Source organism: Homo sapiens, chromosome 15, assembly GCF_000001405.40.
Source record: "Homo sapiens chromosome 15, GRCh38.p14 Primary Assembly".
NCBI classification, from domain to species: Eukaryota; Metazoa; Chordata; class Mammalia; order Primates; family Hominidae; genus Homo; species Homo sapiens.
Window position 1 is genome coordinate 51,997,682 of NC_000015.10, and position 25,396 is coordinate 52,023,077.

Sequence of the window (25,396 nt, forward strand, 5' to 3'; positions counted from 1 at the left end):
CCGGGTTCAAGCGATTCTCCTGCCTCAGCCTCTTGAGTAGCTGGTATTACAGGTGCCCGCCACCACACCCAGCTAATTTTTTGTATTTTTAGTAGAGACAGGGTTTCGCCATGTTGCCTAGGCTGGTCTCAAACTCCTGACCTCTGGCGATCCACCCACGTCAGCCTCCCAAAGTGCTGGGATTACAGGTGTGAGTCACCACGCCCGGCCTTTAAAGTTATTTTCTTTCTTTTCTTTCTTTCTCTTTCTTTCTTTCTTTCTTTCTTTCTTTTTTTCTTTTTGAGACAAAGTCTCGCTCTGTCACCAGGCTGGAGTGCAGTGGCATGATCTCAGCTCACTGCAACCTCTACCTCCCGTGTTCAAGCAATTCTCCCGCCTCAGCCTCCCGAGTAGCTGGGACTACGGGCACATGCCACCACGCCCAGCTAATTTTTGTATTTTTAGTAGAGACGGGGTTTCACCATGTTGGCCAGGATGGTCGCGATCGCCTGACCTCGTAATCCACCCGCCTTGGACTCCCAAGGTGCTGAGATTACAGGCTTGAGCAACTGCACCCAGCCTAAAGTTATTTTCTTAGTGGTAGCACAATCTCGGCTCACTGCAACCCCCACCTCCCGAGTTCAAGTGATTTTTGTGCCTCAGCCTCCCAAGTAGCTGGGATTACAGGCGCCCACCACCACAGCTGGCTAATTTTTGTATTTTTAGTAGAGACGGATTTTCATCATGTTGGCCAGGCTGGTCTTGAATTCCTGACCTCAGGTGATCCACCGGCCTCAGCCTCATAAAGTGCTGGGATTACAGGCATGAGCCACCGCACCTGGCCTTTTTTTTTTTTTTTCTCCCCTCTCTCTTTTTTTTGAGGCAGAGTCTCACTCTATTGCCCAGGCTGGAATGTAGTGGTGTGATCTCAGCTCACTGCAACCTCTGCCTCCAGGTTCAAGAGATTCTCCTGCCTCGGCCTCCCAAGAAGCTGGAATTACAGGCGTGCGCCACCATGCCTGGTTAATTTTTTTTTTTTTTTTTTTTTGAGACGGAGTCTCGCTCTGCCGCCCAGGCTGGAGTGCAGTGGCGCAATCTCGGCCCACTGCAAGCTCCGCCTCCTGGGTTCACGCCATTCTCCTGCCTCAGCCGCCGGAGTAGCTGGGACTACAGGCACCTGCCACCACGCCTGGCTAATTTTTTGTATTTTTAGTAGAGACGGGGTTTCACTGTGTTAGTCAGGATGGTCTTGATCTCCTGACCTCATGATCTGCCCGCCTCAGCCTCCCAGAGTGCTGGGATTACAGGCAGGAGCCACCGCGCCCGGCCTTTTTTTTTTGTTTTTTAAGATGGAGTCTCACTCTGTCGCCCAGGCTGGAGTGCAGTGGCACCAGGCACCACCTCGGCTCACTGCCGCCTCCACCTCCCGAGTTCAAGCGATTCTCCTGCCTCAGCCTCCAGAGTAGCTGAGAATACAGGTGGGCCCCACCACCCCTGGCTAATTTTTTTGTGTTTTTAGTAGAGACAGAGTTTCACCATGTTGGCCGGGCTGGTCTTGAGCACCTGACCTCAAGTGGTCCACCTGCCCTCAGCCTCCCAAAGTGCTGGGATTATAGGTGTGAGCCACCGCGCCCAGCCTCCATTTTTAACATTATAACCATTTAAGTGGGTATAAAGTGGTATCTCATTGTAGGTTTGATTTACATTTCCTTAATGACCAATCATGGTGATCATCTTTTCATGTGCTTATTTTCCATTTGTATATCTTCTTTGGAGAAATGTCTATCAAATCCTTTGCCTATTGTAAAAATGAGTTATTTATTTTATTATTATTGAGTGAAGAGTTTTTTATATATTCTGGCTAGTAGACTCTTATCAGATATATTATTTGCAAATATTTTCTCCCACGCTTTGGGTTGTTTTTTAACTTTCCTTTTTTTAAGGTTTCCTTTTTATTTTAGTTTCCCTCTTTTTATTTATTTATGTATTTATTTTATTTTTGAGACAGGATCTGGCTCTGTCATCCAGGCTGGAATGCAGTGGTGCGAACACAGCTCACTTCAACCTCCACCTCCTGGGCTTAAGCCAGCCTTCCATCTCAGCCTCGTGAATAGCTGGGACTACAGGTGCATGCCACCATGCCTGGCTAATTTTTGTATTTTCTGTAGAGACAGGGTTTCACCATGTTGCCTAGGCTGGTTTTGAACTCCTGAGCTCAGGTAATCTGCCTGTCTTGGCCTCCTAAAGTGCTGGGATTACAGGCGTGAGCCACCATGCCTGACCTATATTTATTTATTGAGATGGGATCTCACCCTGTTGCCAGGCTGGAGTGCAGTGCTGCAATCACAGCTTACTGCAGCCCGGACTTCCCAGCTCAAGTGATCCTCCTGCTTTCACCTCCCCTGTAGCTGAGACCACAAGGGTGTGCCACCGTACCTGGCTAATTTTGTTTTTTTTTTTAAGAGATTGGGTCTCTCTGTGTTGCCCAGGGTTGTCTCAAGCTCTTGGGCTCAAGCTGTCCTCCTGCCTCAGCCTCCCAAAGTATTGGCACTACAGGCGTGAGCCACTGTACCTGGCCTCGTTTTCACTTTCTTGATGGGGTCTTCTGAAGCACAAAAGTTTTTCATTTATATGAAGTCCAAGTTACCTATTTTTCTTTGGTTGCCTGTGCTGTTGGTGTCGTATCTAAGAACCCATTGCCTAATTTAAGTTTTCTTCTAGGAGTTTTGTAGTATTAGCTCTTGCATTGACCCATTTTGTGTTAAATTTTAGTGTACTGTATGAGATAAGGTCCAATTTCATTTTTTTGCATGTGGCTATTCTTTTCTCATATAATTGTTCTGGCATTTTAAAAAACTTTTCAATAGCTGGGCACAGTGGTTCACGCCTGTAATCCCAGCACTTTGGGAGGCTGAGGCAGGCAGATCGCAACTTCAGGAGTTTGAGACCAGCCTGGCCAATATGGTGAAACTCCGTCTCTACTGAAAATACAAAAATTAGCCGGGCATGGTGCCACACACCTGTAGTCCCAGCCACTGGGGAGGCTGAGGAAGGGGAATCTCCCAGAAGGCGGAGGTTGCAGTGAGCCGAGATCACGCCACTGCACTCCAGCTTGGGCGACAGAGAGAGACTCCATTTCAAAAAAAAAAAAAATTCAATAGCTTTAGGGGTACAGTTGTTTTTTGGTTATATGGATGAATTGTATAGTGGTGAAGTTTGGGCTTTTAGTGTACCTATCACACTAGTAGCATACATTGTCCCCAATGGGTGATCTTTTATCCCTCACCCCCCTACCACCCTCCCTGTTTTGGCACTCTTGTTGAAAATCCATTGCCCATTGCTATGACTTGAATGTGTCTTCTCCAAAATTCAGGTGTTGCCAATGTGATAGCATTAAGAGGTGGGGACTGTAAGAGGTGACTGAGGCTATGAGGGGGTCCTTTCTCGTGAATGGGGTTACGGCCCTTATGAAAAACATTTCATGCAGTGTTCAGCCTCTTGCCTTCCACTTTCTGTCATGTGAAGACATAGCATTCCTCCTCTCCAGAGGATGCAGCCCTCACCAAACAGCCAAACCTACCAGCACCTTGAGCTTGGACTTCTCAGCCTCCAGAACTGCAAGAAAAAAAGTTTCTGTTCTTTATAAATTACCCAGTCTCAAGTATTTTGTTATAGCACACAAGCAAATTAAGACACCCATAGATATACATGTTTATTTCTAGACTCTCAATTCTACTCTATTGGTCTGTAGGTCTATCCTTTTGCTAGTACCACACTTTTCATTACCATAGTTTTGTAGTAAGTTTCAAAACTGGGAATTGAATGGTATACCTTTGTCCTTTTCCTTTCTTTTTTTTTTTTTTTTTCAGATGGAGTCCCACTCTGTCACCCAGTCTGGGGTGCAGTGGTACAATCTCGGCTCACTGCAACCTCCTCCTGCTGGGTTCAAGCGATTCTCCTGCCTCAGCCTCCTGAGTAGCTAGGACTACAGGCACGAGTCACCACACCTGGCTAATTTTTGTATTTTTAGTAGAGACAGGGTTTCACCATGTTGGCCAGGCTGGTCTCAAACTCCTGGCCTTAAATGATCTGCCCACCTCAGCCTCCCAAAGTGGTGGGATTATAGGCGTGATCCGCCACTCCTGGCCGCATGTAGCCCTTAATAGGGAAGAATGACTCAATTCTGTAGGCTCAGAGGGTCAAGAGGAATCTGGGAATTCAAGATTTTGGGGGGCATCAACCCAGATGTCCCTGTCCCATGTGTCAGAGTCTCACTCTTTCCCAACCAGAACCCTGACCTAATTTGGTTGGTAGTTTAATCTTCTTTGGAGTTTGGCTACACTGATGATTTAGTCTGGGTCTTGTCCTCAGCATTCTCTGCCTTCCCACCTTAGGTCACGAAAGTCTCTTTACATGCTACCAGAGACCCTCTGGCGAAAGCTTTCATTTGGCTCTAGTTGCCTGGTGTTTACTCTCTCGGCCTTTTGGTTTCTTTTCCTAGAGCTTCAACAGAGGTGAGCAATAACCATATAATCCCATTGTCCTTAGAATTACTATTTCTGCCATATATTGCTTGAGCTAATACATTCTCTTCCATTGGTATACAATCCCAGTTCACCACTAGTGAAAGTTTTAGTACCTGGCCGCCACCTTCTGCCAGGGGTTATCTGGGTTCCATCTATTACCAGTAACAGGTCCTCCCTACCAGCTAGGTGGATGAGTGACCCAGTTCCAAAACTCCATCTTATCTGTGCTTTCTCAGACCTCTCCTGGCTCTGACTGTGGTAGTTTGGGTTTTCCAGGAAGCAGATCCTGAGACGGACTTCAGTGTACAGGATATTTATTAGGGAGGGCCCTTGGGATCGACATCTGTGAATGGCAGGGAAAGGAAATAAGATTGGGCAGAGGGTGAAGTTGATCTGAGATGCAGGCTGATAGCCTCAGTTAACCCCACACAGGAATCTCTCCAGAGGAAGTGGATCATCAGAGTTGTTCTGACAGGGCAAAATAGCTAGGCCTTTTGTATTAGTGTTTTCACACTGCTATAAAGAAATACCTGAGACTGGGTAATGTATAAAGAAAAGAGGTTTAACTGACTCAACAGTTCCGCATGGCTGGGGAGGCCTCAGGAGACTTACAATCATGGCGGAAGAGGAAGCAAGCACATCTTAGGTGGCAGCAGGTGAGACAGAGAGAGAGAGTGTATGTGAAGGAGGAACTGTCAAACACTTATAAAACCATCAGATCACCGGGCGCGGTGGCTCATACCTGTAATCCCAGCACTTTGGGAGGCTGAGGTGGGCAGATCACAAGGTCAGGAGTTTGAGACCAACCTGACCAACATGGTGAAACCCCGTCTCTACTAAAAATATAATAATTAGCAGGGTATGGTGGTGCATGCCTGTAATCCCAGCTACTCAGGAGGCTGAGGCAGGAGAATTGCTTGAACTCAGGAGGCAGAGGTTGCAGTGAGCTGAGATTGCACCATTGCACTCCAGCCTGGGCAACAAGAGGGAAACTCCGTCTTAAAAAAAAAACCAAAAAACAAACAAAAAAAACACGATCAGATCTCGTGAGAACTCATTCACTATCACGAGAACAGCATGGGGGAAACCCGCCTCCATCATCCAATCACCTCCCACCAGCTCCCTCCCTCGACACATGGTGATTATGGGGATTACAATTTGAGATGAGATTTGGGTGGGGACACAGAGCCAAACCATATCACCTTTCTACTTCTGCCTTGATCAGTCATCAGATTTGGGCAACCCAGAAAAGGCACATCTTCTTGGGCAAGGTAGCTCTCTGCACATGAGGCAAACCCGGAAGGAAATGGTAGCTGACAGCTGTGTGCTGAGCACAGTCCCCACAGCAGGGCAGCAAGTCTTTCCTTGGAGGGGGATCTGGTCAAAGCATCTCAACATCCACCACAGGTATCATGTCAGCAATTGACTCTCAAATTGTTCAGGTAAAAATTCATTATGCTATGTGCGCAACTTTTCTGTTAGTTTGAAAAACTTTAAAAATAAAATGCTTTTAAAACAAATGGACAGACTTACACAAATTAAATGTGACTGAAAAAATGTCAAGAGCCTCCTGTTGCTGATGCAAAGAAAGGAGCATGATGTTGAAGAGATGAAAATTCATTTGAATGAGTAAAATAGGGATGGCCAGAAGAATTAGTGAGAGATAAGAGTGAAACAGTAAATTGAAGTTTCATCTTTGCTGATGCAATATAATTCCAAGACTTCAGAATAGGGCAAGAATGCAAAATGCTTATTGCCTCACATTTACACTGGCCTTTAATTTCACCTCACCTCTTCTGAGTAGGTGAAGTCTCTTCTAGACTACCTTTAGTAGCTCCTGTTCCCTATCTCCCTTTTCCTTTTGTTCCTTTCCTCCCCACGACCATCATGAAAATTGGTCTGTGGAGATGTGAGTCTTTACTAAGCGTCTCATACTGGGATGAAGATTATTTTTAGGATTAATCTGAGTCACAGAGGGAGGAGGGAAAGAACCATTTTAATCTTTTCCTTTTCACTCCTTCATAACCTGCTGTACAGCTAAATCATTTTACAAATACGTCTTTCCTCCTTTTCCCTAGGAATGCTTTGCCTTTTATCTTTCCTTTGGAAGCAGTATCCATAAGCCTTCATCAGAAGCTTCTAAAAGTGGAAGGGATTTTTCTTTGTTAGAAAGGACCACGGGCTAATTAAAGGAGATTGCTATAAGCTGCTTTCATGTAAGTAGATCCATTTATTATTATAGCGGTTGTTGGTATCTGAGGGGTTATATAGTTGCCCCTGTTTCCCTTTCTCACTGGCCCTCTCAGCTACACCCATGTCTTAGTCTGTTTTGTGCTTTTTATAACAGAATACCTGAGATTGAATAATTTATAAAGGAAAAAAATTTATTTGGCTCACAGTTGTGGAGGCTGGGAAGTCTAAGAGGGGACAGTATCTAATGAGGTCCTTCTTGCTGCATCATCTCATGGTAGAAGGCAGAAGGGCAAGAGTGATCTCAAGAGGGCAAGAACGATCTCCAGAGGGCAAGACATTGAACTTGAAGCTTCCAGCTTTATTATAATCAGCATGATTCAATTCATGAGAGTGGAGCCCCCATGACCTAAACACCTCCAATTAGGCCCCACCTCCCAACACTGCTGCATTGGGGATTAAGTTGCCAACATACGCTTTTTGGGGAACACGTTCAAACCATAGCAACCCCACTCTGGATTTTCCCTTCTGTCGCTCTGAGGCTGAGCGTGGAAGGGACTCCTGCTTTCTGTGGAGAGATGCAGGCAGAGACTGTGTTTGACCTTCTTCCTTTGCAGCAACATGCTTGAGCATGCCTCATGTTTCACTGTTGGACGACATTTCTTTGAGGGGTAAATAAGCATGTGAACGCTACACTTTAAAAAATATCTTTACCAATTTACACATTAAACACTGAGGAAACAAAGAAGAACAAACAAAACCCCCCAAATAAGTTACCCCAAAAGGTGGGAGAAAGTTCTATCTTGGATAAAATAGGCACTCAAAGGCTATCTGTTGAATGACTTGAATGAATGAAGAGAGATCTGGGCCAGGTGCGGTGGCTCATGCCTGTAATCCCAGCACTTTGGGAGGCTGAGGAGGGCAGATCACCTGAGGTCAGGAGTTCAAGACTATCCTGACCAACATGGCAAAACCCTGTCGCTACTAAAAAAGTACAAAACTTAGCCAGGCATGGTGGCGGGTGCCTGTAATCCCAGCTACTCAGGAGGCTGAGGCAGGAGAATTGCTTGAACTTGGGAGGTGGAGGTTGCAGTGAGCCAAGATCGCACCACTGCACTCCAGCCTGGGCAACAAGAGTGACATTCCATCTCAAAAAAAAAAAAGAGAGAGAGAGATCTGGCTTAACTTAGGTGAATGATAGTTTAAACAGGCAAGCTTCTGGCTGAAGATACTAACAGCACCCCTTATTTAGAGTAGGTTAGCATTTTAGGGGTGCTTCCACACACATTATCTCATGTATTCCTTGGACAGACCCCACCCTTCGAGGGAGGGGAGGTAGGTGCTATTTATACCATTTTAAAGTTGAGATTAAATGACTTGCCTGGAATCAAACAACTAAGTGGCAGAACTGGGGCTTACACCTAGGTCTGCTGACTACCGTTGGTGCCAAGACATCAGAGAGATTCTTCTGGTTTCACAGTGGAGCCCCCAAGGATTACTGCTGGGGGACTTGTCTTACTTAAAACTGTGATAGACTGTGTGGAAGCAGGCCCATGTAGGAAATGGCCTTAAGCTCTCCAGAGTAGTAACTACCAAGCAGATGGATCTAAATTGAAAAGATAAGCTTCACACAGCTTATGTGAGTGGACAAAAATATGGCAAATGAGTTTCATTCTGTACTGAATTGGAATAATGCATTTAGTATTGTTAGTCTAAAGTCACTTAAAAGAAGATGAGTTGGGAGCTGTGCTTTATTCTAAGAAAGAGACCCATGAGTTATTGTTGACTGTTTCCTAAAGTCATATAACAATATGCTAGGCCTGTTTGCTAAGAACGTGGAAAACAGAACTGAAAGCATTATTTTGTCTTACATTTGACAAAATGGTAATGAAGTTATACCTGGAATCATGCATTTAATTCTCCCTGGAAACCGTAAAAAAGAGTCTAGTATTTAATAGATATACCAGGTCATAGAAAGAGGTAACTAAAATGACCAAATAGATTTCCTAAGAAGAAAGTTGCTTTAAAAGTAGAATTAAATAAGGGGAAATTTGAAGGAAACCCCTATTCACCTTTCGTTTTCAACTAACATTTTTTTGAGAAACCACTACATTCAGACACTGTGCTCAACACTAGAGTTTACAATGACTAAAACACAGAAGTTCACAATCATTGTGTGAGAATATCAGCCGGGATGAATCATGAGTACAACTCAGCACAGCTATTCTTGTGTGCTTAGTGGATTGGCAGCTGGTCTAGGGTACAATCTCTTGAACTTGGTTGGTATGTGTTGGTTGCCAGGGGCCAATCAACCCTGGTAAACCTGCAATCAAGTTCTTCAAGCAGCAAATCTGAAGAACTGGACCCTTCATATCTACCAGAGCATAAAGTGAAATTATGACTTATTAATAGCGTCATTAACATTTAGTTGTTTACCTGGGTCTAACAAATACCATCCTTCTCTGTGGTCTCAGCACTTCTAAGCTAGGAAGGTACAGACAGTCCCTGCTTGTGACTGAGTTATGTTCCCAAAAGTTGATTTCTAACTTGGTTGTTTGAAACTGAAAATGTATTTTCCCCAGAGAATCAATGTTAGAAATACTGGTTCTGTTCTCAGGCCAACTCTTAGAAGGCCATTTAGCCCATATGCAGCTTGACTTTGAGACTATAGAACTGTGACCTACGACATTGTTTCTATGGGAAAATGTGCCCCAGAAGGAACAAGGTCTTCCTTCCTACCCCACTTCCTACCTCCCTGTGTAATGAAGCCTGTGTGTTTATTATAGGAAGTGCTGCTCCCAAGTGTGGGCGGCTGGGCTTTGAGGCAGCCTTGGACACTTACCCCCAAGGGCAGAGATATTCTCACTTCTCCTGTCCCAGCTCTGGCAGGGAGGGGAGTGGGAGCAGGTGGGGAGTCTGTCCCTGACCCACCTTCTTCAGGGCTATCTTCTGGGGGGTGGGGTTCTAGCAAGACTGGCTACATAATTTCTGGGGCCCTTTGGTTCAAAAGGCAGAAAAATAAAAATGCTGCTAAGCTAGTTAAGAAGACAACTTTTTTTCCTCCTGCTCTCTCTCTCTTGACTTGTTACAGTGTTTTAAATATGTGATTTAATGTTATTCTACGTAAGAAAAAAGAAAAATTTAAATTACTAGCATGAATGTTATAATTCATTTTTATACTGTGCAAAGCCAGTTTTAAATACAAATATAAGATCATTTAATTCCTGAGGCAGGAGGATTTGCTTGAGCCCAGGAGGCCAAGGCTGTAGTGAGCTGTGTTTGCACCAATGTACTCCAGCCTGGGCAATAGAGCTAGAGCTCTATCTCAAAAAAAAAAAAAAAATTAATTCCTTTGTGGACTCACCAAAATGACATAATTTCTATTTTTTAGCTCTTACATATATATATAGTTGGTTATTACCAGAATAGTATAAAAACTACACAAAACTACCTCAACTGATATTTCACCTCTTTTTTTTTTTTTTTTTGAGACGGAGTTCCACTCCGTCACCCAGGCTGGAGTGCAATGGTGTGATCTTGGCTCACTGCAACCTCCACCTCCCAGGTTTAAGTGATTCTCCTGCCTCAGCCTCCAAAGTAGCTGGGATTACAGGCACCTGCCACCACGCCCGGCTAATTTTTGTATTTTCAGTAGAGACGGGGTTTCACCATTTTGGGCAAGCTGGTCTCAAACTCCTGACCTCAGGTGATCCACCCGCCTCAGCCTCCCAAAGTGCTGGGATTACAGACGTGAGCCACTGTGCCCAGCCCTTATTTCACTTCCTGATGCACACACATTGTACTAACACTCCACCTTTGACTTACTGAGGAGTAAGAAAGTACTGAAAGGCAAAGGAAATGTCCTCAGCACAAGCAGTCAGCTAACACAGGGAAGTGACACAAGAAAGAAAAGATATGATAGGGTACCGTGGTCTTTTATGTCTTAGAATGCCATTGCCTTCTTTCGGTTTGAAGTTCTGGTTCCAGTGGAAAACATGACTTCTCAGAACTATCAGGACCCCCACTTACTCAGCCGTAGACAAAACAGGCTTACCTTGTATTAATACTTATTTGCTTTGTCTTGCTGAATTCTGATGCACCGCGGGCTCACCAGAATCCTGTGCACATGGGTCATGGAGAACACTATACATGAACAGGGTGGCAGGAAATAGTGAACATACTTATTGCATCTATCTCCTCTGCTCACCTGCGTGCTCCACTGCCACATCTGACTTCACTACACAACACGAGTTCAAAGATAAAATCATCAGGAATGTCAAGATGGTCATAGCAGAGCATTAAACCAAGCATGGGGTCCTTTTGCACGCAGGGCCCTGTGTAATGCCCTGGTTGTGGGAGGGAATGGGATGGGCACTCATAGGTTTAGAGTGAGGCCAGGATGGGCAGATGAATCTTAGGCCTCTTGAGCCCCTGGCCATTTTTCTTCCAGGACACCAGACCTAGGGGATTGCCAGAGGCAATGATGAATGCAGATAAAGACTCCAGAGGTGGTTATCAGTTTCTGGGGATGATGACATCTTCTGGGAAGGGAGTTCCAGTGGTAGTAATTATCAAGTGGTAAATGGGAGGTGAGAGGCAGGATTGTGGAAGGCAGACCTACTAAGCCTACCATATGATATACTAATTGATAAATGGAGCACTCAGAATGACCAGTGAAAGCAAATGTTGGGTACAGGATTAGTTAGAGGAAGTGATTACCTTCTTCCTCAAAGGACAGGATAGCTTGACTACTGAAGTGCAAAGGGGAGGAGCATGACCTTGTGAGTTGAAAGCTGCTTTGTCTCCACAACTCAAAATATTTATCATTCCCTGCACATGGGCTGACAAACATCCGGTCTATTCTTTCCTTTTATTTACTCTGGTCATGTGGCAGAGACCCAGGTTGTTCTCAAAATCTGAGACTAGTTATAGAAGGCTTTGTGGTCTCAAGAGGTTCAAGTTGGACACTGTCTCCAGAAATTAGGAGTATCTGTTCTCTTCAAGGTATTGGGCCTCTCAAGATAGAAGGAAGGACAGAATGCAAATAAGAAAACCTTTGGACTAAATTTCCCTGAAGCCAGAAAGTGTCACTCTCTCTATGCTTCTCTTAAAATGTGTGTGTTGGGAGAGGCTGTAAGTTTTGTATTACTAGTTTAATTCTACCATTTCTACAAATTTGCCTTGCTTCCAGAAAATTCTGACTTCCAAAGCAGAAAAATTAGAGGGGCTCTTTGGATTATTTATTTGGTTTTATAAAATTATTCCAATAGATATTTCCCAGTACTTTTAAATGTTTAATTATATAACCATTATTTAAAAAGTAAATGTATAGTTTTTGTCTCAGAAATTGATTTTATTACAAGGAAAGCCAGGTTTTGTCTAAAATATTTAAGCAATTTTTTTTTTCTTTTTTTGAGACAGAGTCTTGCTCTGTCGCCCAGGCTAGAGTGCAGTGGTGCTATCTTGGCTCACTGCAACCACTGCCTCCTGGGTTCAAGTGATTCTCCTGCTTTAGCCTCCTGAGTAGCTGGAATTACAGGTGCCCGCCACCATGCCCGGCTACTTTTTATATTTTTAGTAGAGACACAGTTTCACCATCTTGGCCAGGCTGGTCTCAAACTCCTGACCTTGTGATCCACCTGCCTCAGCCTCCCAAAGTGCTGGGATTACAGGCGTGAGTCACCGTGCCTGGCCTTAAGTAATTTCTTACAGCTTTTCAATGAAATCCCATTTGTCATAGTCTGAGAAAATGATAGAACGTTTGTAAAGTGTTTACCTGAAACGGGCTACTTGGTAGGAACTTGATAAATGATTGCTATTACCATTCTCCTGAAGGATAAGTTGTTTTTTTGTTTTTTTGAGACAGAGTTTTGTTTTTGTTGCCCAGGCTGGAATGCAATGGCATGATCTTGGCTCACTGCAACCTCTGCCTCCTGGGTTCAAGCGATTCTCCTGCCTCAGCCTCTCGAGTAGCTGAGATTACAGGTGCCACCACACCCAGCTAATTTTTGTATTTTTAGTAGAGACAGGGTTTCTCCATGTTGGTCAGGCTGGTCTTGAACGCCTGACCTCAGCTGATCCACCCAACTCGGCCTTCCAAAGTGCTGGGATTACAGGCATGAGCCATTGCACCCAGCCTTTTTTTTTTTTTTTTTTTTTTGAGACAGAGTTTCACTCTGTTGCCCAGGCTGGAGTGTAGTGGCACGATCTTGGCTCACTACAACCTCCATCTCTTGGGTTCAAGCGATTCTCCTGCCTCAGCCTCCTGAGTAGCTGGGACTACAGGCACACATCACCAGGCCAGGCTAATTTTTGTATTTTTAGTAGAGATGGGATTTTACCATGTTGGCTAGGCTGGTCTCAAACTCCTGACCTCAAGTGATCCACTCACCTTGGCCTCCCAAAGTGCTGGGATTATGGGCGTGAGCCACCGCGCCTGGCGGAGGGGATACTCTTGTTGCCCCATCCAATTAAATGTGGGATCCTAGTTTTGTTTGCAGGTGGTAGTCTTGCATTTCCAAAAATCATTCGTGTGATCTGCCTCTCATCAAACTTTATGTACAGGTTTGATGGGTTTTGACTGAAAACATTCTCTCCATAATCTTTAACTATAGTCAGTCCTCATTATTCACAGATTCTGTTTGCAAATTTGCCTATTGCTGAAACTTATTTGTAACCTCGAAGTAGTCATAGCACCTTTGTAGTCACTTTTGAACATGCACAGTAACGAGATACTTGAGTCACCCTACGGGAACGTTGCCAGCTGAGGCCAAACAAGACAAGATTCTGCCTTCTTGTTTCAACTCTCGTACTGTAAACGAGTGTCCTTTCCATGGTCTATTTGGTGCCATGATTTTTTTGTTTTTAGAAACAGGATCTCTCTATGTTGACCAGGCTGGACTCAAACTCCTGGGCTCAAGTGACCCTCCTGTCTCAGCCTCCTGAGTAGCTGGGACTATAGGCACATGCCACTGTGCCGAGCCATCACATGTTTTGCTTTCCGTTGGTGATTTTGCTGTTTAAAGTGGCCCCCAAATCTATTGCTGAAGTGCTGTATAGAGTTCCTAAGCACAGAAGGCTGTGAAGTGCCCTACAGAGAAAATACATGTTAGATAAGCTTTATTCAGGCATGAGTTACAGTGCTTTTGGCAGCGAGTTCAGTGCTAATGAATCAACAATAAGTATTTAAAAAGGTGTCTTGAAACAGAAATACACATAAAACAAGATTATATATTCACTGGCTGATGAGAATGTTGTGCCAGAGGTTTGCAGGAACCTAGCCTTGTATTTCCCCTAGGAGCAGGGTTCAGTTTTCACTAATTTACTGTTCATGATCACTTTACAGAACATAAGTACCACAAATAATGAGAATCCACTGTGAGAATGAACTGTACTTGGCAATGAATTTCTTCAGTGGAAGGCTGTTTTGTTTATTTACAAATCAAATTACAACGTGTTCTTCTATAAACCGTGTCTAGGAGAGCAGTCATTTTAAATTAAGAGTATAAACAGACACACAGAAGCTTCAAGTTGGAGACCATGGAAGTTATCAGCTGGCTGTAGGCCCCTCCTCTCCTCTGCAGTTCCTTTTAGACCCTCCTTGACAGGTGGCCATTGTTTTCTGATTGAATGCTTCCAGTGATGTAGCATTCACTTCACCAGGGAAGTCCTGTCCACTGTGGCTCAGTTCCAATATCCAAAACAATCCTTTCTTATGCTGAGCCAATGCCTCTCGTAATAGCCCTCTCAGTGGTTTTAGATCTGAAATCCAGAGCAACCATTCTCTCCTCTGCACACAACAACCCTTTAGCAAATCTCTTCTGCAGGTTAATCAGACCCAATTCTCACATCTTTTTTTCAGAGAACATGATTTCCACACCCTGCCTGAATGTCTCCTAATGAATTACTCTAATTTGCTATGTGTGGTAGCTTTTGTAAATGTGGTGTCTGTATTTGAACACATAAGTTGAGAAATCTTGAGCTGAATAGCATAGGTGTGGTACCCCCTGGGACGTGGACACTGTTTCCTATTCACACATTTTGTTCTATTTTGTTACGTTTTTTTGGCATCTGCTCACACTGCATTTTACCCTTATTGTCACATTACCAGGTTAAGCCAAGTCTCCCAAATCCTGGTCCTTTTCAAATGATTTTTCTGAACAAAGATATTGTACTTTATTGCAGTCAAATGTCATCTTTTTAAAAAGATTCTTTGCAACCTATGGAAATGATTTTGAGTAATCATCCTGTAATCCATCACACTGTATGTTTTATAGCTCCCTTAAGTTTAATAAGTACCTTAACTCAAAACATTGATAAAAATATTACTCAGCCAGGCACGATGGCTTACACCTGTAATCCCAGCACTTTGGGAGGCCGAGGTGGGCGGATCACAAGGTCAGGAGTTCGAGACCAGCCTGGCCAATATGGTGAAACCTCGTCTTTACTAAAAATACAAAAATTAGCCGGGCGTGGTGGTGGGTGCCTGTAGTCCCAGCTACTCGGGAGGATGAGGCATGAGAATGCCTTGAACCCGGGAGGCGGAGGTTGCAGTGAGACAAGATTGTGCCACTATACTCCAGCCTGGGCGACAGAGTGAGACTCCGCCTGGAAAAAAAAAAAAAAAAAAAAAAAAAAAAAAAAAATATATATATATATATATATATATATATATATATATATATTACACAAGACTAAAGAGGGGAAAATCTGTATTGCTTTTCTAGAGAACTCTCTCAAGATTCCCTGTCATGCACTCTTTGAATCAACCTTTCTCTGCTATAATCTAAACCCACATCACTCCATCTTATCCACAAAGATGTCTTGCCTTCCTGAAATGACCAACCTCTTGGTTAAGTAATGTAATAATCCTATCAAGAAAGGAAGTGGTGTTTCTTTGTAATGACTCACTTGAAGAGAAGTCATGATGACCTCTTACATCTTCCCTAACATACTGTCTTTAATGATTTATATCAGACATTTTCCAGGGTTTACCATCAAATGTAGTAGTTTGTATTGCGAAACTCTATTTTCCATCCATTTTTAAAATCAAGGTATTTGGTAGTTTGTCTTCATAGGGTAACTTAACTGGAAAAAGATAAAACAAGAAGCCTAAAGAGGGAACTTAAAGAGGTAATGTGGGAGCAACTGGGTGACTTAAGACACATCTCTGACTCATCTAAGCATTCACCAAGTCCACTTTACCCAATAATCTTTCTTGTATTATCATCTCCTTCCTCACCTAGTAAAGGTACAATAACCATCTGAATATATTCTGTCTCTCTCATGAGATACAGTTTGGTTTGGCTTCTCTGTTACTTGCAACAGAAACAATTTTTACTTACACAGGAAGGGGAGGCTCCTTAGAGGACGTGGGAGTATTGTTACCAGAAGACCGTACATTGGATACAGGGCAGAAAAAACAATAGATTCTTCTACCTGCTCCAGGTCTCCAATCTCTTGCTCAATCTACCCTTCCTATTAATGCCAGTGTTATATTCTAAAATACTAGTTGTATCCTTTATGTTCCTCTCCTACTCTCTTTAGTGTAAAATCCAAAAGTTTTGGCCTTGTAATCAAGGCCTTCTCAATCTGGTGCTAACTTGTCTTCATTCTCCCAGGCCTGTCAGACTTCTCCCATTTTCCAAAGTGTGCCCTGCATGCTCATGTCTTTGTACATTCTTTCATCTGGGATTTTTTTTTTTTTTCCAGATACTACCCGATGGAATCAAGCCCAGCTCAAATACTCTCTCTCCCTGATGTCCCCGGTTCTTATCAATTGTTCCTTCCATTATAGTCCAACAACCGCAAATAATTTGCATCTCTGCTCAGGAAGCACTCATCTATCTCTCGCTGTACTTATTTTTTCTCTCCTGCATTCCTCCACTATGGCAGTGACTTTCAAACTTTTAGCAATAGCATAGCTCACAACAATAATTAGCAATAAATATAAATACATTTTACATTATGACCCAATAGACACATTCATATAAACTATATATGTCATCAATTTTAAGTATTTCCTCCATTTTAATGCCTGAAATCAGGATTTAGCCCAGGTGCGGTGGCTCATCCCTGTAATCCCAGCACTTTGGGAGGCCTGAGGCAGGAGGATCACTTGAGCTTAGGAGTTGGAGACCAGCCTGGGCAACATAGTGAGACCTCATCTTTACAAAAAATAATTAGCCAGGTGTGGTGGTGCATGCCTGTAGTCCTAGCTACTCAGGGATCTGAGGCAAGAAGATTGCTTGAGCCCGAGAGATTGAGGCTACAGTGAGCCATGATCCCACCACTGCACTCCAGCCTGGGCAACAAAGTGAGATTTTCTAAAAAAAAAAAAAAAAGGATGTAGCAATGAGGTATTTTGATAGAGTTTTCACTTTCTTAATAGTACATAAAATAATGGCATGTTTCATAATGAATGACATTTTTAGATCTGTTGAAATATGTTACATAACCAAGACAAAAGTTGCAGAAAACAATGTTTGCCCTTTCTTCTGGGCAATGCTCTCTTATTTAGTTTTTTGCTCTATTAAGACAAAATGCAAATTGTAATCCACTAAAATGATTTCACTACTCACTAATGGATCATAATCTGCAGTTTGAAAAAATGCTGAGAATTGAAACTTTTTTTGTTTTGTTGAGATGGAGTTTCACTCTTGTTGCCCAGGCTGGAGTGCAATGGTGTGATCTCGGCTCACTGCAACCTCCGCCTCCCGGGTTCAAGCAATTCTCCTGCCTCAGCCTCCTGAGTAGCTGGGATTACAGGCATGCACCACCAGGCCCGGCTAATTTTTGTATTTTTAGTAGAGATGGGGTTTCACCATGTTGGTCAGGCTGGTCTCAAACTCCTAACCTCATGTGATCTACCCGCCTCAGCTTCCCAAAGTGCTGGGATTACAGGTATGAGCCACCGCACCCAGCCTACACCTGACTAATTTTTGTATTTTTAGTAGAGACGGGGTTTCACCATGTTGGTCAGGCTGGTCCTGAACTACTGACCTCAGGTGATCCACCTGCCTCGGCCTCCCAGAGTACTGGGATTACAGGCCTGAGCCACCGCATCTGGCCAAGCACTGAAATTTTTATAGCCACAGAATGGGATTTTTTTTTTTTTTTTGAGAGGGAGTCTCGCTCTGTCACCCAGACTGGAGTGCAGTGGCATGATCTCGGCTCACTGCAGCCTCCGCCTCCCGGGTTCAAGCAATTCTCCTGCCTCAACCTCCTAAGTAGCTGGGTGGCGCACGCCACCACGCCCGGCTAATTTTTTTTGTATTTTTTAGTAGAGATGGGGTTTTACCCTGTTGGTCAGGTGATCCGCCCACCTTAGCCTCCCAAAGTGCTGGGATTACAGGCGTGAGTCCGCGCCCAGCCCAGAATGGCATTAAGAACTGAAACCGGGCTGGGCGTGGTGGCTCACACCTGTAATCCCAGCACTTTGGGAGGCTGAGGTGGGCAGATCACTTGAGGTCAGGAGTTCAAGACCAGCCTGGCCAACATGGTGAAACCCCCTCTCTACTAAAAATGCAAAAATTAGTTGGGCGTGGTGGCGCGCCCTGTAATCCCAGCTACTGGAAGGCTGAGACAGGAGAATACCTTGAACCTGGGAGGCAGAGCTTGCAGTGAGCTGAGATCCTGCCACTGCACTCCAGCCTGGGCCACAGAGCCAAACTCCATCGCGCGCGCGCGCGCGCGCACACACACACACACACACACACACACACACACACACAAACTAAAACTGGCCGGGCATGGTGGCTCACTCCTGTAATCCCAGCACTTTGGGAGGCCAAGGCGGGTGGTCAGGAGTTTGAGACCAGCCTGCCCAACATGGTGAAACCCCGTCTCTACTAAAAATACTAAAATTAGCTGGGCATGTGGTGCACACCTGTAATCCCAGCTACTCAGGAGGCTGACACAGGAGAATTGCTTGAACCCGGGAGGCGGAGGTTGCAGTGAGCCTAGATCGTGCCACTACACTCCAGCCTGGATGACAAGAGCAAAACTCCATCTCAAAAAAAGAAAAAAAAAACACCAAAAAAACTAAAACCAACTACATTGACATGACTTTACAATTCAACTATCTGCAATAAATATAACTTGAATTCCAAGAAACTCTTGCCTAAAAAGGTGGAGTTGCAAATAACTTGATTGTGGTTTCAGGAACTTCCTAAAATCCATTTATCTCATTAAGTTACTCACAGAATTTGCCTTCATCAGGGTAAACAGCCCTCTGTTCTACTGAGTTTAACAACTATTTATCCCTTTAGGCTCTCTTCAAAACTCTCCCCCTCCTCTGCCCACCCACCTTAAACTATTATAACACAAATTTGTCCCAAACCCAATCAGGACCCCTCACTGAAAAACCAGTCTTAAACCAGATCCCTGGGCCAGGTGTGGTGGCTCATGCCTGTAATCCCAGCACTTTCGGAGGGCAAGGCTGGTGGATCACCAGGTCAGGAGATCGAGACCATCCTGGTCAACATGGTAAAACCTCGTCTCTACTAAAAATACAAAAATCAGCTGGGTGTGCTGGCGCGCACCTGTAGTCCCAGCTACTCGGGAGGCTGAGGCGGGGGAATCGCTTGAGCAGAGGTTGCAGTGAGCAGAGGTTGCAGTGAGCCAAGATTGCACCACTCTGCACTCCAGCCTGGCGACAGACCGAGGCTCTGTCTCAAAAACAAACAAACAAACAAACAAACAAAAACCAGATCCCCCAAATCTTGTAATTATTCCATCCTTGACCTCCCCTTTGTCTCACGTGTCCGTGTGAAGAGACCACCAAACAGGCTTTGTGTGAAAAACAAGGCTGTTTATTTCACCTGGGTGCAGGCGGGCTGAGTCTGAAAAAGGAGTCAGCAAAGGGTGGTGGATTATCATTAGTTCTTACAGGTTTTGGGATAGGCAGTGGAGTTAAGAGCAATGGTTTGGGGGCAGGGGGTGGATCTCACAAAGTACATTCTCAAGGGTGGGGAGAGTTACAAGGAATCTTCTTAAGGATGGGGGAGATTATAAAGAACCTTCTTAAGGGTGGGGGAGATTACAAAGTACACTGATCAGTTAGGTTGGGGCAGAAATAAATCACAATGATGGAATGTCATCAGTTAAGGCTATTTTCATTTTTTTTGTGGATCTTCAGTTGCTTCAGGTCATCTGGATGTATATGTGCAGGTCACTGGGGATACGATGGCTTAGCTTGGGCTCAGAGGCCTGACACCCTTTTGAAATGCTACAAAGATTCTGTCAATTTAGTGGTCTCCCTTACTATTGTAAGCCAACTTTGCATTATCCACAGGAAGTCAGCAGTGACACTGGATTAAATGCTCCTTGAGGGAAGGCACAGTGCTTGGTATTTATTCTCCCACCTTCTCTGGGTGATCAGACATTGATGGAAAAGGAAGGTAAACGAGTTCTCAAAGAGTGAGAGGAAAAATGTCCTGAGGATCAGAGGAGAGCCTAGAGCAGAGGCAGTGGGGCTGAAGGTACGAGCTCTCGTTGCAGAAGCTGGAAATTCTGCGGTTGGAACAAGTCTCCCCTTTCTCTTGGTTTTTTTCACTCATTACCTCTTCTTCACACCTGGTACTCAGCTGACGTTGTTTTAAATATTAAAAAATATAAAGCATTCAAGCTCACCCCAACCACTTAACTTCATTACTCTGTGATTTTTTTTTTTGAGACAGAGTTTCGCCCTTTCGCCCAGGCTGGAGTGTCCTGGCGCGATCTCGGCTCACTGCAACCCCCCGCGGGGTTCAAGCTATTCTCCTGCCTCAGCCTCCCGAGTAGCTGGGATTACAGGTGTGAGCCACCACACCCGGCTACTTTTTGTATTTTTAGTGGAGACGGGGCTTTCACCATGTTGGCCATGCTGGTCTCGAACTCCTGGCCTCAGGTGATCTGCCCGTCTCGGCCTCCCAAAGTGCTAGGATTACAGGCGTGAACCACCACGCCTGGCCCTTTGTGATCTTTTTGAAGTGGTCTTTGCCTCTTTCTTGAAGATGCCCATAATAATGACTAGAAGGGCTATTCTATGTCTGGTTCTCAGCAAGATGGTGATGAAGTCATTGAAAAAATATGCTGACCTGCGTCTCTAATTTCATAAATACTTAAATTTCACATAAACACTGAAAAGGCTCCTTGGACTCAATAAGCCATGATAAGTAATGTAAGTTTGCTTTTAGCCAAGTGGGCCCAAGAAGGCACCCATCCACCTTTCTACGTTTCATAGTGCATCCCTTCCCAAATTCAAATTGTCCTATCCCAGTTCCTGCAACAAGCCAGGTACTCTGGCCTCCCAGTCTTTGCTCACAGAAACACCCTCCCCACCTCCTGGTTATATCCGCTCCTCCGGGATCCAGCTGAAAGGCCACCTTGGCGACCACTCCTGAAAGCCTTCCTCCATACTCTGGCAGAATGAATGACCTTAGTATTGGCCTCTAACGCGTCTGTCTTGTGCTCGGGCTGTCGCCTTCCAGCCAATCCATCTTAAGGTCCACCCTTCCTGGAGACTGAGGCCTCTTCCTCTCGGATTGCCCAGTGCCTTGCACGTAGTAGGTGCTTAGTAAACGCTGGCACTGGGTTTGGTCACTTTGTTCCCTTAATGCCAGGGCAGGTAGTAGAGCAAACGGCCCCAGCTGTCTTCCTCCCTGCCCGCCCGCAGGCAAAGCCCCCAGGAGACGCCGGACGAGCCGCGTGCCTTTCCCACCGCCTCCGCGGCGCGCGCAGCCCAGTCACGGGCGCTGGAAATTCCGGCGCGTGCGGGTGCGCTGGGCAGGGCGGGGGCGGGAGAACCCGTGGAGTGAGCCTGTGACGTGAGGGGGCGTGGCACCGCGAAGCCCCGCCCCCTCTTCCTCGCCCTCTCTCGCGGGTCGGGGTTACATGGCGGCGACTGCGGCAAAGCGAGAGCCTCGGAGACGCCGCTGCCGCCAGCACAGCCGGAGACCTGAGCCGACACTGGGGGCAGTCCGCGAGCCCCGCACTCTCTCGATGAGTCGGAGAAGTCCCGTGAGTGTGTGTGTGTACGTGTGCGGGGTGCGCCGGCGGGGCGGCTCGGGAGGGCGCCGCGGCGGGCCCGGCGGCGGCGGCGGCGGCGGCGACGGCGGAGCCGGCTCCCTCCTCCATTGTGTGTGACCCTCCGGCGGCTGCCGCTCAACAAAGGCGTTTTTGTTCGGTCTGCCGCCCGCCCCCTGCTCGCCCGCCTGCCCGCCCGCTCGGGCCTGGCCGGCGCGTCCCCGCGCGGGCGGGCGGGCGGCGGGCTGGGGTCCCCGCGTGGGGCCGGCCAGGCGGCCAGCGCGCCCCTCCCACCCGGCACGCCCCTCGCCGGTCGCCCTGCCAGGCCGCGCCCGCTCCCTGGCCCCGCACGCCTGCTGCCGTCCCGCCGCCTGCGCCTGGCTCCGCGGGTTCGAAACCCAGCCGGACCGGACCGGAGGGCGGGCGAGCGAGGGGCGGCGGCCCGGGGAACATGAGGTGGCGTGGAGTCTCGCCTTACTGGCACGCTGCCTTTCGAAATGCTCCCGCGTCTCCTCCCCCATCCCACCCGGTGACTCGGCCTCAGCTGACTCCGGCCGGGCAAAGTCTCCAGTGGCGTAGCGCGCAGCGCTCACCCGGCTCGTCTCAGAGCCCTGAAGTCCGCCCAAGTTTTGAGTCTTGCCATGAATGAGGTACTGAAAACTCGGAGACGAAATTCCTAATTTCCTCCCTCGGCCCTACAGTCTTTCCTTAGCTTCTTTCGGGACCTTAAGTGGTGGTCTGTAAAAGTGCCCAAATGAAAGCTTGTTTTGTCGGTTCACCAAAAAGGGCCTTGTCACTTTGCTGTGCATTTTAGTCCGCCTTGTGAGTTGTGTCGAAAAGTAAAGGTGTTTTGGCATCCTTTTGTTTCTTGGCGAGTGTAGGACCCAACCGGTTTAGGTGTTAGGGGGATCTCTGTGCAGCGGGAGCTTCTTGATTCCTTTCCTGTTTTATTTTTTCTTTTGCTTGTTCATTGGAAAAGGTCCAGTGAAAGGGACTGGTGAGTTGGAATTAGAAGCCTACTTGTATTAACGGCAGAATTCGTGTTCATTGCTAAAGATGCAGTCTCAGTAATGACTTTTTTTTTTTTAACGGATACAGATGATTTGTCAAGGGGAAAAATTAACACGCCATACAATGAAGAGCAAGCAGCTTCAGAGTAATTTTCTGATGGCTGATTCTTCTAGCCTGTCTCTTACAGTTCCAATTGCACATGTCCTCCCTCTTTAACGCTGGAAAACTGAGATGGAAAGAATGATCTGACCAGAAGAATGTAGGGTCCAAACAGGGCCTGGCCCTGAAATCAGGAATTTCTTCATAGAAATATCAGATTTTAATGTTTAAAAAATAATTTTGAATTGGGTGAAAGGAACTTTGTCTTTAGATAGTAGTTGTTCAAACATGTTTATGAAGTGTTTGCTATGTGCCAGGGATTGTAAAGTCATTTCACATATGTTACATCATTTATTAAGAATTGCCTTAAGCTTGTAAAATTATTCATTGATGTCCTGAATTCAGTAATTGCAGTTAATCTAGAAAATATGCCAGATTTGAGCAGAACATATTTGATCACCTAGGTATTACTGTTGAGAAGAAAACACTGGAAAATGGAGACTATTTTAGAAAAAACTTCGTATATGAGGATATTCTGGAATTCATTTATTTGCAAAAGAGGATTAGAAGTAGTCGTTGGCTACTTTCTGTTATTAAAAAATCCAGAGAAGAGTGATTTGAAGTCAGTTAATTTTGTAATAAAAAAATGCACACATTCTAAAGACTAATGTTAGCACTAAAAGTGTTGCAGTGCTTTACATAAATTCATTTAAAGCATCGTGAGAATCATAACTGACAAAATAGTAAGGTTTGCTGACTCAGGGTACTTTGCTGAAGGGGATGGGGGTCGGGTAGGAGGAAGCTTACAAGTGCTGCTGCAAGTTTTGAGTTGGATGATGACTCATGCTGCCCACGGACTGCTACGTGGCTTTTTTTTTTTTTTTTTTTAAATACACTGTATTTTTTTCTAAATGATAGGCTAAAATGTTCCTGTCCACATTGAAATTCTCTCTCATTTTTTCTGAAGAGGAACAGCAGTTTCTCTAAAAAAGTAATGGCTTCTTAAATTGCATTTTAAAAGGATATCATATACCCTACAGGTGGAATTGTGTAACATTTGCTGAGAGGAAAGGTAAAACCAATTTCTGGTCAGGTGCTGAAATTAAATGTTTGATACTAGCAGTTTTTTGGCTACTGCTGAGAGAGATTTGTTACAGGTTGTTTATAAAGGACAGATAGTACTTTTATGGTGTCGGTAGAAATTGACCTTATGTTTTTATTGGTTATGTGAAAGTTATCTTTATATTTAATATTTAATCAGATATGGCTCTGAATATGAAAGTTTCACTCAGAATTATTAAAACATAATTATATATTGTGCTTTGTGATTTATGTGAATTTTCTGTTTTAATAAAGACAATTTGAAATAGGTATTAGTCACTATTTTTCATGGTTTTTTTTTAAAGATAAGCTGAATGTACAGTTCTAAGTTGAAACTTGGTAATAAGATAAATCTTTTGACTGATTTTAAAACAGCCAACGTTTAGCAAGGTGGCTTAAAATAAGATTGAGAGGGGGAAAAAGATTGAGAATGGCAGTTTAAGAGTGGGGCTGGGTGCGTTGGCTCACACCTGTAATCCCGGCACTTTGGGAGCCTGAGGTGGAAGGATCGCTTGAGGCCAGGAGTTCAAGACCAGTCTGGGCAACATAACGAGACCCTGTCTCAATTTTTAAAATAAAAGAAAAAAAATTTCCCACCCCATCCTCTGGTTTTTCTGTGTATACTGTTTATTTTTCCAAAGGGATTTGAGGAGTTTGTGGACAGTAAAGTGTTTGTTGTTTTTGTGAGACAGGGTCTTGCTCTGTCACCCTGGCTGGAGTGTAGTGGTGCGATCACTGTTCACTGCAACCTCTACTTCCCGGGCTCAGGTGATCTTCCTGCCTCAGCCTCCGGAGGAGCTGGGACTACAGCTGTGTGCGACCATGCCTGGCTAGTTTTTCGTATTTTTTGTAGAGATGAATGTTCACAGTGTTGCCCAGGCTGTTCTTGAACTCCTGGGCTCAAGCAATCTGCCTGCCTCAGCCTTCCAGAGTGTTGGGATTACAGGTGTGAGCCCCTGCTCCCAGCCCATAAAATGTATTGTTAATGTGAATTAAATTTTTGGAACTATTTTGGAAGAGTATTGCATGATTTATACCTAGAGGTTTTTTTTTTACAAAGTTTAATTCAAACTTAAAAAAAATTTCCTACTAGAGGAAACATAAAAATACAAATATAAAAGTATTGAAAATTTTCAGAGCATCACATTACTTAGAGGTTTAACGTATTTTCGGCATTGTTTTCAAATATAGGTAATTAGCTGTAGTGCATAATTCAGAGTTTAAAAACAAACTGAGGCCGGGGGCAGTGGCTAACGCTTGTAATCCCAGCACTTTGGGAGGCTGAGGAGGCAGATCACGAGGTCAGGAAATCGAGACCATCCTGGCCAACATGGTGAAACCCCGTCTCTAATAAAATACAAAAATTAGCTGGGTGTGGTGGCACGTGCCTGTAATCCCAGCTACTCAGGAGGCTGAGGCAGGAGAATCGCTTGAACCCGGGAGGCAGAGGTTGCAGTGAGCCGAGATTGTGCCAGTGCACTCCA

At 45.1% G+C, this 25,396-nt stretch overlaps 1 protein-coding gene and 1 long non-coding RNA gene across 12 annotated transcripts in view, besides 9 other annotated features; one reads left to right on the forward strand and one right to left on the reverse strand.

Annotated features, from left to right (window-relative positions):
• Positions 1–25,396, forward strand: part of MAPK6 (mitogen-activated protein kinase 6) — a 95,551-nt gene that overhangs the window by 25,857 nt on the left and 44,298 nt on the right. For 3 of the 11 annotated variants that reach the window (XM_011521782.2, NM_002748.4, XM_047432855.1), the window contains exon 1: positions 21,538–21,695. The gene's annotated coding sequence lies outside the window, so the exon portion shown is untranslated. Of the gene's footprint in view, positions 1–6,583; positions 6,722–21,537; positions 23,884–25,396 lie in introns of those variants that run through there. The other 8 variants (XM_047432847.1, XM_047432850.1, XM_047432849.1 and 5 more) reach the window with 5 other exon arrangements.
• Positions 9,013–9,142: an enhancer, noted in NCBI's record as "active region_9411". NCBI's record gives its function as "activates an Ori minimal core promoter by ATAC-STARR-seq in GM12878 lymphoblastoid cells {active_cell/tissue: GM12878}" and the evidence as "EXISTENCE:reporter gene assay evidence [ECO:0000049][PMID:35858748]".
• Positions 10,755–10,894: an enhancer, noted in NCBI's record as "active region_9412". NCBI's record gives its function as "activates an Ori minimal core promoter by ATAC-STARR-seq in GM12878 lymphoblastoid cells {active_cell/tissue: GM12878}" and the evidence as "EXISTENCE:reporter gene assay evidence [ECO:0000049][PMID:35858748]".
• MAPK6-DT (MAPK6 divergent transcript) lies at positions 13,318–21,414 on the reverse strand. Its single transcript, NR_156732.1, has 2 exons — positions 21,018–21,414; positions 13,318–13,785 (listed from the first exon to the last, which is right to left on the reverse strand). It is a non-coding gene; the product is annotated as an MAPK6 divergent transcript (long non-coding RNA).
• Positions 13,351–13,645: a silencer, noted in NCBI's record as "tiled region #2333; HepG2 Repressive DNase matched - State 5:Enh". NCBI's record gives its function as "represses a minimal TATA promoter and a strong SV40 promoter by Sharpr-MPRA in HepG2 cells {active_cell/tissue: HepG2}" and the evidence as "EXISTENCE:reporter gene assay evidence [ECO:0000049][PMID:27701403]".
• Positions 14,111–14,405: a silencer, noted in NCBI's record as "tiled region #7002; HepG2 Repressive non-DNase unmatched - State 6:EnhF, and K562 Repressive non-DNase unmatched - State 8:EnhW". NCBI's record gives its function as "represses a minimal TATA promoter and a strong SV40 promoter by Sharpr-MPRA in HepG2 and K562 cells {active_cell/tissue: HepG2 | K562}" and the evidence as "EXISTENCE:reporter gene assay evidence [ECO:0000049][PMID:27701403]".
• Positions 16,063–16,132: an enhancer, noted in NCBI's record as "active region_9413". NCBI's record gives its function as "activates an Ori minimal core promoter by ATAC-STARR-seq in GM12878 lymphoblastoid cells {active_cell/tissue: GM12878}" and the evidence as "EXISTENCE:reporter gene assay evidence [ECO:0000049][PMID:35858748]".
• Positions 21,139–21,208: an enhancer, noted in NCBI's record as "active region_9414". NCBI's record gives its function as "activates an Ori minimal core promoter by ATAC-STARR-seq in GM12878 lymphoblastoid cells {active_cell/tissue: GM12878}" and the evidence as "EXISTENCE:reporter gene assay evidence [ECO:0000049][PMID:35858748]".
• Positions 21,379–21,488: a silencer, noted in NCBI's record as "silent region_6442". NCBI's record gives its function as "represses an Ori minimal core promoter by ATAC-STARR-seq in GM12878 lymphoblastoid cells {active_cell/tissue: GM12878}" and the evidence as "EXISTENCE:reporter gene assay evidence [ECO:0000049][PMID:35858748]".
• Positions 21,789–22,298: a silencer, noted in NCBI's record as "silent region_6443". NCBI's record gives its function as "represses an Ori minimal core promoter by ATAC-STARR-seq in GM12878 lymphoblastoid cells {active_cell/tissue: GM12878}" and the evidence as "EXISTENCE:reporter gene assay evidence [ECO:0000049][PMID:35858748]".
• Positions 22,549–22,598: an enhancer, noted in NCBI's record as "active region_9415". NCBI's record gives its function as "activates an Ori minimal core promoter by ATAC-STARR-seq in GM12878 lymphoblastoid cells {active_cell/tissue: GM12878}" and the evidence as "EXISTENCE:reporter gene assay evidence [ECO:0000049][PMID:35858748]".